Genomic DNA, 17,625 nt, shown 5'->3' with positions numbered 1-17,625 from the left:
CAAGGTTGTGCATTGTACTGCTATGTTTACACTTAAACTTGTTAAGAAGGTAGATCAAACCTCTCATGGTAAGAACATGAGAGGAAAAAAAAGAAAAGAAAAGAAAAAAAATGATCGGGTTTAAGAGTCATTCGCTTATCTAATTTCATTGGTTCTGCTACAAATGAAAAATAAAAATGAATGGAAAGATTCAGTATAAGGAGATGAAACAGTGCTGAAATTAAGAATCAAATAAGCTGAAACTAAATGATAAGCTATCAAAACTACTAAGATTTAATAAATGTAGCTATACTGAAAACATATAGAAAAAGACTAAAATGCCTTTGCAACAATAAGGAAATATAAAAAATTAATATACTGTTCATGATAGCAATAAAAATTTTAATCTAAAAATCAATTATTTCTAACAAATATATCCATTGCATCTTAAATGAAAAAAATAAATAACAAAATGCTTATCTAAATAAACATTCTAAGGTCTTGAAATAGGATGACAAAATTCTATTAAGGCACTTCCCCACAAATTAATTTATGAGTAATTTCAATCCATAAATATTTGACTTCAACTTTTTAAAAAATTTCATTTATTTCTTTTAAATTGACAGCTAAAATTGTATGTAGTTATTGTGTACAGCATATTTTGAAGTATAAATGCATTTTGCAAATGAGCTAATTTGCACATATATTACCTCACATAGTTATCATTTTTGTGGCAAGAACACTTAACATCAATTCTCTTAGCATTTTTCAAGAAAACAATGTATTATCACTAACTATAATCACCATATACTGTACAAGATATTTGTTGAACTTTTGAGGAACTTGAATAGGTTATGATAAAATTTATATGGAGAAGAGATGTCATCTCTTCTTGAGCCAAGTAAACTTTAAGAAAAGTTATACAGAGGGTCTTCCCTACTATGTATTAAGATATACGACAAAGCCACATTCATAAACAATGTGGTATTGGATTAAAAATAGAGGAAGAGACCATTGGAAGAGGGTAGTGAGGGTAGGACCAGATTGCATATACTATGCTAATTAGAAGCGGCAGGGGTTTTATTTCGCTTCAAAGCTGAATTTGATCAAAGGCTGTTACTGCATCTGTTATGACCTTATTTTTATTTCATTCGCTTAAATGAAAAATGATATTCATAGATTTTTTTCTAATGTTGCAATATGATTGTAATTTTGAGACATAGTCATGCTGATTATGGTATATTTTTATATTTTGTGAATATTTTGTTGAGAAATTTACATTTCTGTTTGCAAGTGGGATTCATCTTTTCTTGCTCTATCTTTGTCTGAATTTATTTTCTAGATTATACTAGCTTCATAGATTCAATTGGCTAAATTTTTCCCCAATTCTTTCTCTGGAAGAGTTTCTGTAAGATTTGAATCATTGATTACTATTTGAAAGAATTCCAGTTTCAATGTCATTTTAGTGAGAAGATTGTTGCTAGTAAATAAATATTGTTAGAATGTATCAGGATTTTGTTATGCTATATTCAGTAGCGGTAAATTTGATATTTTGTTTTAAGTATTTTTATATCTCTATTTTATGTCACAAACAACGATTTTCACTCTGGTAAGTGTGTTTCTTTTTTGTCTAAAGTTATCCATTAATTTTCAGTGATTATTGTTTTCAAATGCATTCTTTAGATTTACCAGATAAATTTTAAGATGATTGCATTGTCTTCTTGCTTTATTTCGATATATTTTACATAACAATTTATTTACATTATCCCCAAATGTACAGAGTATATGGAACATCTTTTTTACATATAATTGTTTTTCCTCATTTGCACTCCTCCCTGTAGCATAGGGAAAAGAATAAAACATACAACAAATACATTTGAACCATCAAATTAGACAAACATACTATTATTCTGAAGTGTGAATATAAGCAACGCCTCTTATCCTCTGCAATCTTATCTTTCTTACTAAAAAATAAACAAAATAAATCTCTTTTCAGGCTTCTGTCTCTAGAGAGATGATCAGAACATACAAGTTTTACTCTTGGTTTCTTATTTTTCTGCCTTCTTTCCCAATAATATACAGAAACTAGCTGTAGATTCTCATTATTTCTACATAATTTTCCTATAGGAAATATCCTAAAACTAAAATGACAAATGGCATCAAAAAGGTAGCATAAATCAATGGACATTGAAAATGTATTAGCCTTTTAACACCTTGTGAGCAGAGTCATATTCTCTAATTTCGTTGACATAAAGCATTTGTAGTCTAAGTACTTTCTCTTAAGGGAGATAAAAATAAGTTTTCTTTTTAACTTGCTCGTTTTCTTTTTTATTGTCTAATTTTTTATTTAAGCCTATTTTTAGTTGATGGAAACCCATTTAGGATATCTGTTTCACTCCAAAATATTGGCATCATTTTTATTTTATTATTTTCCATGTTTACAAAACTATTTTTATCCTTTTTTCAAATCATTTCAGTGAGCACTGGTGGTGTTATTTTCCCATTGTTAAAATACTTTCTACTCTCTTATCCTAGTGAGAAGGACTGGTGGGCAGAAGCAGTTAGTACATCTGTGTTTCTCTTCATTCTTTGTACGCTCCGTAATACCTCTGCATTATTTTCCTTTTCATCCAGGGCATGGCTAAAGTCATAGAATGCTCCTTTAGATTTTGGATTAGTCTCCATGAGAGAGTAAACTGACAGAAGAGACTCCATTGTGTAACCTAGAATTTGTATTATTTTCTTCCCCATTTCCTTATATGTAAGCTTTTATTCCATTTATTCTACTACAACAATCTTTACTCCCTTTTTTTCTCCTTTTGGGGAAGGAAAAGTCCTAATTCTAAAAATTTACGTGAGAATTAAATTATATTCATCTGCCCAAAAGCTGTACTCTACTAGGGTACCTAGTTTATATCCTAAAACCTTGACCCCTTAACTTTCTTACTAAAATGGGTTGGTGATAGAGAATTATGTATGAATTCCAGAGTTAAATTTGATTTGAAATAAACAATTTGGATTTTACATAATACTTCTCATTTTTTAGTTTGAAGTTATCTTTCATTAATTTCAGAAATGCTACCATACCTTTCGCTTTATCAAATGATTATTTTTAGTAAAGGTTTGGAAAAATAAGTTGTACAAGATTGTGTGTGTTTAGTGAAACGTAAGATTGGACATTCCAAGTTGTTTGGCAGAAAGTGTTAATCCAGAATAGTCCAACTCCAGCTACAAACATAATAAATGATGGAAGTAATTAAACCCCAATTATTTTCAAGTGTATGTGCTATCAAAAGAAAGAAAAATAATAAAATATGCATATACAAAAAAGCACCTAAAGGTATTACCAAAATCTTGTGTGAGAAGCAGTAGTGGTGAATGCGGTGACTTACAACGTGTTGGATTAGGTAATTGGTTGACGTTTTTGTATCCATAAGGTTAAGTTAGCCTAAGGCAAGAAGCAGAAACTGAGTTCACAGGAGAGGGTCAGGAATTCCAAAGGAATCTTATCCATTATTTTTTAAAATGAACTAGAAAACCCTGAACCCACCCAAGAAAGGGTAATGAGATATGACATTTATCTGGAGTCTAGAGTGGAGTGAGAAAGTTATGCAGAGCATCTCATTCATACCCTGATATGCAGAAGGGGAACTCAAACCTCATTTATGTGGTGAACTGAGGAAATCTGAGACAAGAAGTGAGTTCCAGTGAAATAAAATCCCAAGGACCCCAGCAGAAGCAAATGGAAAAATCTCACAACCCACAGGACAAGGGATTCCAAAAGGGAAAAACTCATGGTGGAGAAAACACAATGGAATAAAATCTAATGTAGAAGAATCAGCCTATTCAATAAAAAACAGAGACAGTAACCAAAGAAGATGACATAATAGAGCCATGTAAAGGAGACCAGAAAAAATTAAAGAGAACAAAGAAAGAATAGAAACCAACACAGTCATAATGAAAAATCATTGCATTCGTCCATTCTCACACTGCTAATAAAGACATACCTGAGACTGGGTAGTTTATCAAAGAAAGAGGTTTAATTGACTCACAGTTCAGCATGGCTAGGGAGGCCTCAAGAAACTTACAATCATGGTGGAAGGGGAAGCAACATGTCCTTCAACACATGATGGCAGCCAAGAGAAGTACCCAGAAAAGGAGGAAAAGCCCCTTATAAAACCATCAGATCTTGTGAGAACTCACTCACTATCATGAGAACAGCAGCATGGGGGTAACTACCCCTATGTGTGTGGGAACACAGCCCAAATCATATCAATCAAAATAATACAAAATTAAATATTAAAAACAGAGACAAAATTGAAAGACGAATAGAGAGGTTAAAATACAGATTATTTTGATCAAAGTTAAAATAAATAATAAATGGTTAGTTTTATATTTCTATTTTATCCCCTCATTCTCACTTGTTCACCTAGTTTATTTTTCTTTTTATCCCACCTAAAAGCAGAAATAAAAGTCCAAAGAATTTCTTCACCTATATGTCAGAAGAAAGTTTAATTGCATTTGTTCTCAGGATAAGGCTTCTCTTCTCTTTGGTACTAGATAACCCTGAATCTGGGAAATAGGATCATAATTGTTCATGATATTAAATATCACATAAGTCATTCTCACTTCACAATTTCATGGAAAATGAAACAAAAGTTTCAATTCAACACTTAAAGATTTATTAATCATTTGCCACATTCCTAATTAAGTGATAACACCAGATTACAGAATGAGAAAGTACAATATTTAGGATGGTGTTCTGGCATCACTCTCCTTATGCCTCCATGATGAATGACCTCTCTGTGTTGAAATATTCCTCAAACTCTAAAATATAGAGGCTGGCCAAATTTTAAGTATGATCACTTCATTCTAGTCAGCCTTCCATGAAATGTCTAATGTGACCCATCTTTGCCAACCTGCAGCTCTCAGTAGATATTATTCACATTTGTCCTTTTTTCAAAAGCAAGCATGTTAGACATGAATAATCTCATGACATTTCACATTAGAAACAAGGTTTCTGTGTCCAAGGTTCTGAGACAGGGGAGGCATCTTGGAATATCTAATTCCTCTGACTTATTTTCTTTTATTTTGCTTTCTTCTCCCTTCTTATCGTTTTTTAAGGTTAAACAAGGGAAATTTATGAAGTATCCTTAATTATGATAAAATAGTAACATATAATATATAACAGGAAGCTATATATGTTACCCTAGGGATGAGGACAGTATCCAAGGAAGAACAAACTTGGAAGGAGTTCAGAAGTCATGGGAGATATGTCTGGTTTGCTTGCCAAATAGCATAAGGTCACTGGTTTAGCCAGGCCAGAGCTGTTTTAAGAACTATGAACACAAATTTTCGTGGCCAATTAAAATGAATGCAGATGTCCACAGTAAGAGCCAGTTCTCAATAAGTTGTACTGAAATTACTCTAATAAAGTTGTTGTTCAAACCTGAACTGACCAGATCAGTACCCTTAAAACCTGGATCCATAATTGCATCAGATACGCAATGCATTTGTCATCATAGGCTGGGCACAAAATAAATAGCTATATGTTTCTGATGCGGAAGACACCAATGCATTGCACACTTGTGATTCCTGCCAAAATGTGACCTTCTTGGGCCCATGGTAGAAAAAGTCACATTTTATGGGACTTTTATCCTGCCTGTTCTTTGAAGATAGATTGCACCCTTGACATCTGAAGCACTCCCAGAACTTTCAATACTAATTTCTGTTGGCATTCTTTTACTTTAAGGTGTTTGTATACCAAAATAATCAGCCAACTTACACCACACAATTGTGACCATTGAACTTAATGTGTGGTATGTTTCTGGCTTTCCAGACCATCCACAGTCTCACAAGTCTGTGCCTTTTGTTACAAATGCTGTGCAACAATGGGCCAGTATTCAAGAAATTTTACTGGTAATTTCAAGCCCTCTACCATCTGCAGGTATATGATATTATTGAGCTGTGTTATGAATTCCTAAAAAATCAACTTAAAACATTGCCTGACTCTACCTCCCATACTTTACTTGTTCATACAACTTAGTTAAACAATTTAATTACTAAGTGTTGGTATACCCAGAACAGGTCAGCTTGTTTTGGCTAGGTTTTGGCTAATGATTAGAATACAAAAGTGTTACAGTGGTAAAATTTGAGATTTTGCCATTACCATTGTTGGGCATGATGATTTTCCATATATATATATATAGATATATATACTCTAATGTCATTTGTATATTGGAATCCAATACTGTGCTTTGCATATAATGGACGTTTATTAATAATGTATTGAATTACATGTGACCAGATATAATTGAAATTAAATTCAAATAGCAACTTATCAAATGCATACCATAACAGAGTAAAAAGCAAAGTTTTTAGGAAAATATATGTAGTACACAGATAATTAATTCATATATGTTTAATAATTTTATTATTTTAATGTCTTATGGTACAATGTAAAATATGAAATATTTTAAAATAAATTAGTTTTTTTCAAATGGAGTATATAGACTAGTTGAAAAGCAGATAATTAAAGAGTTTATTGCAATATAATATAAAAACTTTTGTGGAGGCACAAAATAGCAAATAACATTGCATCATTGAAGGAAAAGCTTGACAACTGTCTGACAAGTTTATTTAAATTAGTTTTATGCAATAATTCATGTGTGGTGTCCCTGAAAAACTCAACAAATTAGGGGAAGAATAGAGAAAAAGAGGTCAGAAAATCAATTGGGAAGAAGATGATTTCATGAAAATTGAAAGAGGAGCGATCATACGCAGACAGGAGGGGCAGAGCAAGGTGGCCAAATACAAGGCCCCAACAACAGTCCTTTCTGCAGGGACACCAGTTTAACAACTATCTACTCCAAAAAAGCACAGTCATCAGAACCAAAAATCAGGTGAGCACTCACAGTACCTGGTTTTAACTTCATTCTGCAGAAACAGGCACTGAAGAGGGTAGGAGACAGTTTCGAATTCCCAGGGCCACTCTTGCCCCATTCCCTAGCAGTGTCCACATGGTACAGAGATCCGTGCCCTTGGGGAAGAAAGAGTACAGCAATTGCAAGACATTGCATTGAACTCAGGAGTTGCCCTGTCCCAATAGAAAGCAAAACCAGTCTGAACTTGGCTAGTGCCTGCCCGTGGAGGGAGAATTTGAACAAGCCCTAGCCACAAGAAAACTACCCATCCCAGACATCGAAACTTGAGTTCTGGCAAGCCTCGCCACCATTGGCAAAAGTGCTGTGGGTCCCTCAATAAAATGGACGTACATGTGGTGGGTCTTGGGGCAACTAGTCTGCAATTCCTAGGCGAATCCTAGGCAAGTCCTAGTGCTGAACTGGGCTCAGAGCTAGTGAACTGAGGTGACACAGAACCTACTGAGACTCCAATTGTGGAGGCTAAGGGAGTACTTGTGCCACACTTATCCCAGCTCTAGGCTGTACAGCTTGCGGTTGCAAAAGAGATTCCTTCCTTGTGCTTGAGGAGAGAAAAAAGGAGACTAAAGAAGACTTTGTTTTGCATGTTGGATTCCAGATCACACACAGTAGGATAGGGCACTAGTCAGAGTTGTGAGGCCCCATATCCAGGTCCTATCTCCCGGATGAAACTTTTAGACACACGCTGGGCCAGGAGGGAACTCTTCTGCCTTGAAGGGAAGGATTCAGTCCTGGCAGGGCACATCATCTGCTGACTAAAAAGCCCTTGGGACCTCAATAACAAGCAGTGATACCCAGGAAATATACCATGGGCCTCGGGTGAGACTCTGAGACTTGCTGACTTCAGGTGAGACTCACCATACATATTCCATGTTCTGGTGGCTAGGGGAGAGACTCCTCCTACTTGAGAAAAGCAGAGGGAAAAACAAAGGGAACTTTGTTTTGCACTTTTAGTACCAGCTCAACCACGGGGAGCAGAGCACCAAGTGGATTCTTAGGATCCCCAATTCCAGGCCTAGGATCTTGGACAGCATTTTGAGACCTACCCTGATCCAGAGGCGGAGCCCAATGCCCTAAAGGGTATGTCCCAGGCCAAGCAGCATTCACCACAGCTGACTGAGAAGCCCTTGAACCTTAAGGAAACATCAGTGGTAGCCTGTCAGTATTGCTTCATAGGCCTGTGGTGGTGGCCACAATGGGAGCCTCTTTTGTCTGGAAAGGGGAGGAAAGAGAGGAAAAACTACTTCTCGAAGTTTGAATGCCAGCTCAGCCGCAATACAGTAGACCACCAGATAGACTTCCGAGGTTTTGGACTCTAGTCCCTTGTTCCAAGAGGACATCTCTGGACCCTCCCAGGGCCTAGGGGAACTCACCTCCCTGAAGGGAAGGACATAAGACTGGCTGGCTTCACCATGTGCTGCTGGAGAGCTCCAGGGACTTGAGTACATACAGCCCATACCCAGGTAGTGGTTATAGCAGGCATTGGGTGAGACACAGTCCTTTGTTGGATTTAGGTCTGACCTAGCACAGTTCCAGTGCTGGTGGCCACAGGGATGCTTGTGCCACCCCAGCCTAACCCCAGCTTCAGGCAGCTCAGACCAGAGAGCAAGAGAGACACTCTGTTTTGGAGAAAGAAAGGGAAAAGAACAAGAATCTCTGCCTAGTAATCCAGGAAATTCTTATGGATCTTATTCAAGACCATAAAGGCAGTATCTCCATGATGCTGCAAAAACCACAGCATTACTGGGCTTGGAGTGCCCCTAATGCAGATACAGCTTAGATCAAAACACCCAAGTCCTATTGAATACTTAGAAAACCCTCTCAAGAAAGACAATTACAGACAAGCTGAGACTGCAAAGACTACAATAAATACCTACCTCTTCAATGCCTAGACACTGAAGAACATCCAGAAGCATCAAGACCATTGAGGAAAACATGACCTTACCAAATGAATGCAATAAGGCACCAGGGACCAATCCTAGAGAAATAGAGATATGTGACCTTTCAGACACAGTATTCAAAATAGCTGTGTTGAAGAAACTCAAAGAAATTCAAAATAACACAGAGAAGGAACTCAGAATTCTATTGGTAAAATTTAACAAAGAGACTAAAATAATTTAAAAGAATCAAGCAGAAGTTCTGGAGGTGAAAAATGCATCAGAGTCTTAAAATAGCTTAATAGATCAAGCAGAAGAAAGACTTGGTGAGCTTGAAGACAGATTAGCTCACGCCTGTAATCCCCGCACTTTGGGAGTCCCAGGTGGGCGGATCATGAGGTCAGGAGTTCGAGACCAGCCTGACCAACATGGTGAAACTCCATCTCTACTAAAAATACATACAGGTGCATGCCTGTAGTCCCAGCTACTCAGGGGGCTGAGGCAGGAGAATCGCTTAAACCCAGGAGACAGAGGTTGCAGTGAGCCAAAATCACGCCACTGCACTCTAGCCTGGGCGACAGAGTGAGACTCAATCTCAAAAAAAAAAAAAAAGAAAGAAAATAGACAGTAGGAGGAGAAAAAGGAAAAAAATGAATGAAAAACAATGAAACACACCTACGGGATCTAGAAAATAGCCTCAAAAGAGCAAATCTAAGTTTTTGGCCTTAAAGAGGAGGTAGAGAAAGAGACAGACAAAAAGTTTATTCAAAATAATAATAAAAGAGAACTTCCCAAACTTACAGATCCAAATACAAGAAGGTTATAGAACACCCAGCAGATTTAACCCAAAGAAGACTACCTCAAGACTGCCTCCCAAAGGTCAAAGTAACAGTCCTAAAAGCAGCAAGATAAACAAAACAAATAACATACGAAGGAGCTCCAATATGTCTGACTGCAGACCTCATAGGCTAAGAAAGAGTAGCATGATATATTTAAATTGTTGTAGGAAAAAAAAAAAAACCTTTACCTTAAAATAGTATATCCAGCAATAGTATCCTTCAAATATGAGGGAGAAATAAAGACTTTCCCAGACAAACAAAAGCTGAGGGATTTCCTCACCAGGCCTGTCCTACAAGAAATGCTAAAGGGAGTACTTCCATAAGAAAGCAAAGGATGATAATGAACAATAAGAAATCATTTGAAGGTACAAAATTCACTGGTAGTAGTAAGTACACAGAAAAACACAGAATATTTTAACACAGTAACTGGTGTGTAAACTATTCATCTTTTCAAAAATCTTTTAATTTTAAAAAAGAATGAGATTCTGTCATTTGTAACAACGTGGATGGAACTGGAAGTCATTATGTTAAGTGAAATAAGCCAGGCACAGAAAGACAAACTTCACAAGTTCTTACTTATTTTTGGAAACTAAAAATTTAAGTAATTGAGCCCATGGAGAAACAGAGAAGAAGGATGGTTACTAGAGGCTATGAATGATGCAGGGGGGTGAGAGATAGTGGAAGTGATAAATGGGTACAAAAATATTTAGACAGAATAAATAAGACCTAGTATTTGCTAGCACAACAGGTGACTATAGTTAAAAAAATTTAATTATATATTTTAAAATAACTAATAGAGTGTAATTGGATTATATGTAACACAAAGAATAAATGTTTGAGGTGGTGGATACCCTATTTTACATGATATGATTGTTAAACATATATACCTGGATTAACATATCTCATATAATCCGTAAATACATAAACCTACTATGCTCCCACAAAAATTAAAAATTAAAATTAAAAATAAAAAAAGTACACATAGAAAGCTGCACAAAGTCTGTTTGTATGTAAGCATCTCAAATATTTTCCTGTAATTTTAATGTATAAAATGGGAGCTTTATAGGAGGAATTTCAGGTTCTTCATTAATATGAGTAAAAATATGCATAATCTATGTGGCTGCCTAGAATCCCAGTATGAAAAGTCATGCCCAAGTAAACTTAATGTCAGTAATTAGGCTTTGGTGAGTTATATTTTTCTATAATTTTTAATTTTGTATTTACAAGTTATGTAGTTTGTATAATTTCAAAAATAATCTGTCTCAATTTACTTTATTGTATTTTAAATGGAAATAAATAGAAATGTTATTTATATGTGGTTCTGGAAAATGGAGCAATGAACTAAATTACAGTTTTCACAGCTTTACTGATTTAATATTCGTTACTGGCAGTGACGAAAGATCTGCTAGATAGATAAGTGAACTCTTATTGCCAGACACTTAGAATAAACTTCTTAGCTCTGTTTGGGTGTACCAGACTGCTCTCATACTTCTACAGCACAAGAATTTTAGCTTTTATTTCCTTTTTAAATTAGTTCTGCTTTACACTTTATAGTTCAGTATTGTTCTTTATCCATACTTGTTTCTTTGTTTCCACTTCCTGTCCCTAAGCTGATCTCTGCGTGTTTTTTCTTATTTGTTTGTTTTTAGTTTTTTTGTATAGATGCATTGTCCTTTGACAATAGAAAATATAGAAGTTGGGATTGAATAGAGAAATCATGCTGCTTTATGGTTTGCACCTGATGGTTTCTAGCCTTTCAACTAATTTTTCAGTTAATAAATAATATGTACTGTGCTATAGAAACAGAGAAGTTAAGGCCTTTAGAAATTTGTAATCCGTTTTTAAAAAAACAGACATAAAACAACAATAAAAATAATACACAACCATATGAAATACATATGCACATAAGAAGTAACTGGATTGAGGCAGTCTTGGCATCAAGAAGGGACTTCAGAAGAAATTTAGCAATGTTTATTCTTGAGGAATATATTTTAGTTATTTCAGAAAAAGTACATACCAGGTGAGGGAATGGAAAACATAGACATAAATGCCAGTATTATATATGTATGAGGAACTACAAATGGTTTAGTGAGGCATAAAATAAAAATTGGTTAATGGATTACAAACATGACATGAAGATTTAGCTGCAGCCAAAGGGGCATATATACCCTCTAAATATATTTGTACTTTATTCTGCACAAAAAGAGAAATTTAAATAGAAGCAGTGTAGGTCTGTAAACATATTATAGAAAGATATCCTTGCAAGTAATTTAGATGAAGAAATTGGAAAGATGACATTATGGAGGACTGAAGACAAATCTAGTAGTAATTTACAAAATATACCTGAGAAATATGGAATTCCTGAATTAAGGTAAGAATCTGTATGAAGAGAGAGAAGTTATTTATTTCAATAGAAGATATTTGGGAAAATGGTTTGATTGGGAAAAAAAGTTTGGACTTTGAAATCAGACTGCTTGATTTGAATTCAAATTCACTATTTATACCAGTAAGATTCTGGGAAGCTGACTAAGCATTTAACTCTCATTTTCTCACGTGTATAATGTGTCTAACAATATTGTAGACACTTATGGTTGTTCCTAATAATCATTCACATCCTTTCTATTTGTATGTCTTTCTATATTTCTCAATATGAAAAAAATAGTTATGAGAAGAGGTAATTGAAGCATTGATACTAGGCAAATTTGTTTCTATAATTTTTAAAAAAATTAAATCAAATTAATATATATATGCATATATATGCATATACACGCACACATACATACAGCCCAAAAGTGGTTAAACAGAATTTAGAGCATAAGGAAAAATATCTTGCCTACTAAGGTAATACTACAGTGTTCTCATATAAAATGGATGTTTTTTTTCTTTTTTCATTTCTTTCTAGACACCACAGTCTGTAAATTTTCTGCCCATCTTTGTGGTACCTCAACTGATTTTTTCCTATTCTTCTTCTGGTTTTCCTGATATAACAAATAATTATTGAATTAATAAAAATGTGGGAGAGCTTTCAGTACTTGATCCTCTTCTCTTTCTATACTCAATCCTTAATAATAGAATTTAGTCTCATGACTTTTATAAAATATCTTAATACCAACTCCAAATTATTATTTTTAAAATTTCTGTATTTATCTCTATCTAACAACTGAGTGAAATATTCTAATGTCTACTCAACATTTCCAACTTGGCTATCTAATCAAGTTTTCAAATGAAACTTCTGGACCTATGAAATGGATCTACTACGTCTATACATCTATAATTTATCCCATTCCATTTATAATAATAGCAACTCTCCTCAGATCTAAAATTTGTATAAATCTTTATTCTGCTTTTCTGTTGTGTTTTATCCAGTAGAAACAGGAAATCCTTCAGAGTCAGAGTATGCTCTCAAAATACATCCAGAAATTGAGCGTTATTTCACTGCCTTTGCTGCTATAACCATTGTCTAAGCTATATTTCTTACTGGAATTATGTTGTATTCCTGGACTCCTATCTGGTCTCCTGAATTCATATTTTGTGCACACCCTGCCTTGTTTATTATCAATAGGATTGTGAGAGCACTCCGGTATTCATTCAAGGAATATTCACAGAAAGTCTACTTCTATTAATAGACATTTTAAAGGCTTGCGTTAGACCATATAATCCATCTGCTCAAAACTCTGCAATTGCTCTTCTTTCCTCAATGTAAATTGTAAAATTCTCATTATGGTATATAAGTGGGTGATTATACATTATAGTTTGCTTTGGGGAATCACTGTTTTTACCTGATTCTCTGCATAATTATTAGTAACTCAGTTCTTCAAACATGAACTATTTGACATTCTATGTTCTACCTCCATAGCCCTGGCCCACTTTGCTCCAGATTTTGTTGTTATTGTAACACATCTGGTATTCTTCCACCTTAGATCTTTTGTTCTGGCTATTAACTTCTGCCTAGAAACTCTTCCTTCAGATTCACAACATCTTTATATCTATTAAGTTTTTGTTCAAATATTACCTTTACCTTATAGCCTATCCTGACCACTCTAGTTAAAATGGTAAACCTACACTCCTGAACTCCTTTAACCTGTTTGAACATTTTAACAAGAACACTCAAAATCTTCCACTATACTGCATACTTTCTGTGTTATATTTCTATTTTTGTGTCATTCTTGCTGGAGAGTCAGTATCTTTAAAAATCTGTTGATGTTATTCTACTACCTAGGAAAGGGTTTAACAAGCAAATAATTATTTTACAAAATGAGTACATAATGCCGTAATATTACCTACTCAGATTTCAGGATGATGAAGTGTTCATTCATTGGGCATTGCCCTCATCAGTCTATAATAAGATAAAAATGAAAGATTCTTGTACATTAATGTAGAAGTCATTAAAAGAAAAGACGAGGTGAAGGGAATGACTTGCCTGAATAGAGAAAAGCAAAATGAAAATGAAGGTAAGGTTAGAAAGCTGGAAAGACTTCCTGTTTATTTTCCCTAACATGCAGGAGAGTAATGGAAAGAATATAGATGCTTCATAGCATCATTGAGAAGCTAAGCCCTTTAATGGAACTAAGGCTGATCTGCTATCTACAGATTCATCACTGAACTTGTTACTGAAGAATAAGTAATAAAAATGTGTCCCTTACTCAATAGTGATTTGTCAAAGTTTAAATAAAACACATAAATTGCATGGGAAAATGTTTATCACAGAGTGTTAAATAATTGCTAGTTATTTTTATATGAATACAGTAAAAACATGGTTATTTGTGGGATTGAGGGACTGAAGGGATTCTAAAATGACATGATGGTTTCTGGCTTTTCCATTGGAATTTTATAACTTTTATGTTGTCATGTAGCTATTTTGTTTCTTTATCATACATACATGTTTCAGGGTTTATATCTAAAAGTTAATAACTATTAAAATCACAAGTCACACATATATGTGCTGCTATATTACATCACTCAAAAAAGTAATTTTTTTAATGGCCAAGCCAAATGGTTTAGGCAAACATTGCCTCAGCACATTGGAAAGGACTATGGATAGCATGCTAAGAATGTGTTGAAGCTCTTATTGCTAGGGAGAAAAAACTCAAATGAATGACTCAAGAATTTAGTGATCACCATTGAGTAATGGAATAGTTGTTGCAAATTAGGTGTTGCAAATAGTTGTAATCAGAATCAGGAACACCTAATCAAGGCATGCTTCAGCTTTCTTACCTTTTTAAGTCAATCACAATTAGGTTGGGATATATTAACATGCAAGTAAGAGAAATAAGGGAACCTGACCAGAGGAGCCTTTAGGCAAAGGAAATGAAGTAAGAGTAATTAGCAACACATACCATTAAAATGTCCTTAGCATTTATCTTTAGGTTTGCTTGAATTCAGTGTCTTCACTCCTTTCAACATAAGCTGACAAATAATGCAATTTTCTTTACATTCCTACTGACAAAATTTGATAAATAGTCAGTGTACTCACTATTGTAAATGTCACACAGAATTACAAAAGTGTCTTCTAAAACATTTCATTAGCAAGATAAATTTAATCAGAAATAACATGTATTTACTTTGAGCCCCTGTTCCATGAGTCTGAGCACCATAGAGTTTGGGTGGATTGTCGCAAGTAATATCCAGTAAATTCCAAGTCTAGATGGTATCATGACTAAATAAACTTGAAATTAAATGCACTAGCTTCAACCTGTTAACAAAAATCTAGGTTAACATGGGTCATAATAATAGTAAGTTTAACTGGGTTTAACACCAGAAGAATTGGTATTAAAATACATGGATTCATCATAGAAAAAAATAGAAGTTTAAGCTGAGTCACACAGCTCTAATTTAGCTCTCTTAGTATTAATAACTGGCTGGAAGATACTAGTGTAAATCCAAGTTGACAGCTTGAAGAATAGAATTGGCATCTAAAACTATCTAGATTAACTAGCACTTTACTGGTTCCAAAGAAATGTAGGCAACATCATCAAAAAATAATTCTTATGTAGTCACTCCTGTAGAAAGTCTTTGAAAACCAATTTAAAGCTTAACTACTACAGTTAAATAATTTAAGACAAAATCCTCAGAAACTCTGCATTAATGACACATTAAAAATATATATTCTTAAGTTTAAAAGATCCATAAGTAGATAATCACAAGTAAGAAATCCATTAATATGAGTATCAGTAATAAGGCCACTAACAGAGGTGAAATAATTAAAATTGCACAATTAAAGTGCTCATTAATACACTAAATACTATAGTATTAAAGAGATTGAGTAACGTTTTTGAAAGGTATACTTAATTTAAAAAAATATTGTATGAAGAAAACTAGTAACTTCAGGCAATTCTCTAAAAATAGTTAAATAGCAACATTTTAAACCATGAAGTTTAAATAGCACATTTTTTTTCCACACAAAGAATAATTTACACACAACTTCTCATTTGGAGTTAATCTGAGAGAAAATATGGTAATGTAGACAGAGCAGTGACCTTGAAGTCAGGGATTATAGAGTACAATTTTAAATATCAAAATCTAACTTTATGACCTTGGTCAAAGACTCCAAATTTTCATTGCCTCTTTATCTGCCCGTATTGTAATATATTAGGAATAAATTGCAAATAGTACATTGAAGCTTTAAAAGTGATATAAAAATCCATCTTAAATAAAGGCTTGGAATTTTTTAATAGCAGTAACAAGAATTGTGATTTTACTTTTTACTGAAATTACTAGATGTATCAATCAAAACAATTACTAATATTTAGAAAAAACTGTGGTGTATAAATAATAGATGGCATTTAAATATAAATTGTATTAGGATCCACCAGAGAAATAAAATTAATAGGATCTGGATATTAGTATAAAGAAATTTATTTTAAGGCATTGGCTTACAGAATTATGAAGTCTGACAAGTCCAAAATCTACAGTTCAAGTCCCAGAGCCTTCAGGCTGGATTCCAGGAAAGAGACAATGCAGTCTGAAGTCTGAGGTGTGATAATTTAGGGAAGAGACAAGGTTGCAGTTCAAGTCTGACAGCCATCTGCTGGCAGAATTCTTATCCGCAGGAGGTCGGTCCTTTGGTCTATTCAGCCCTTCTGCTGATTGGATAAAGCCGACTCATCATTCTCAGCAAACTATCATAAGGACAAAAAACCAAACACCGCATGTTCTCACTCATAGGTGGGAATTGAACAATGAGAACACATGGACACAGGAAGGGGAACATGACACACTGGGGCCTGTTGTGGGGTGGGGGGAGGGGGTGAGATAGCATTAGGAGATATACCTAATGCTAAATGACCAGTTAATGGGTCAGCACACCAACATGGCACATGTATACATATGTAACAAACCTGCACATTGTGCACATGTACCCTAAAACTTAAAGTATAATAATAATAAAATAAAATAAAAAAACAAGATAAAAAAAAAAAACCCGACTCATATTAGGGAAAGTAATCCGCTTTTCTCAAAAAGTCCCTTGATTTAAGTGTTAATCTCGTAAAAAAAATACCCTCACAGAAACATCCAGAATGTTTGACCATGTATCTAGGCACTGTGGACCCGCAAAGTAGAGACATATAGTTAACCATTATATAAACTAAATATGATTATAAATTATGAATCCAATATATTAATTATTCTTTGTTTAACTTTACAAAATGGTCTTGGAATTTATATAAGGCAAAGTAGTTACCAAATAAATGTCAGAAGAATCCCAAAGTTTCCACAATCCTTTGTCCTTATCAGATGGATATTCTATGTACTTATTCTTTTGCCCTTTAAAGTTCATATAAAGACTTGTACATAGATAAAACATTGTAGCTTCCCCTGAGTTTTCATTTGAAATACTCCCTTGCTTCTTTCTTGCATTTCCCCACATCTTGTTTTTCATATATGAAGAACTTACATCCAAGTCTACTACTGTGGCCTTTATTATGTTGAGTTAAATTTCTTCTTTACCAAGTTTATTGAATATTTTTATCATAAAAGAGTATTGAATTT

Source organism: Homo sapiens, chromosome 4, assembly GCF_000001405.40.
Source record: "Homo sapiens chromosome 4, GRCh38.p14 Primary Assembly".
Lineage (NCBI taxonomy): Eukaryota > Metazoa > Chordata > Mammalia > Primates > Hominidae > Homo > Homo sapiens.
The sequence above is the reverse complement of the archived record's forward strand: the minus strand, read 5'-3'. Positions refer to the sequence as shown.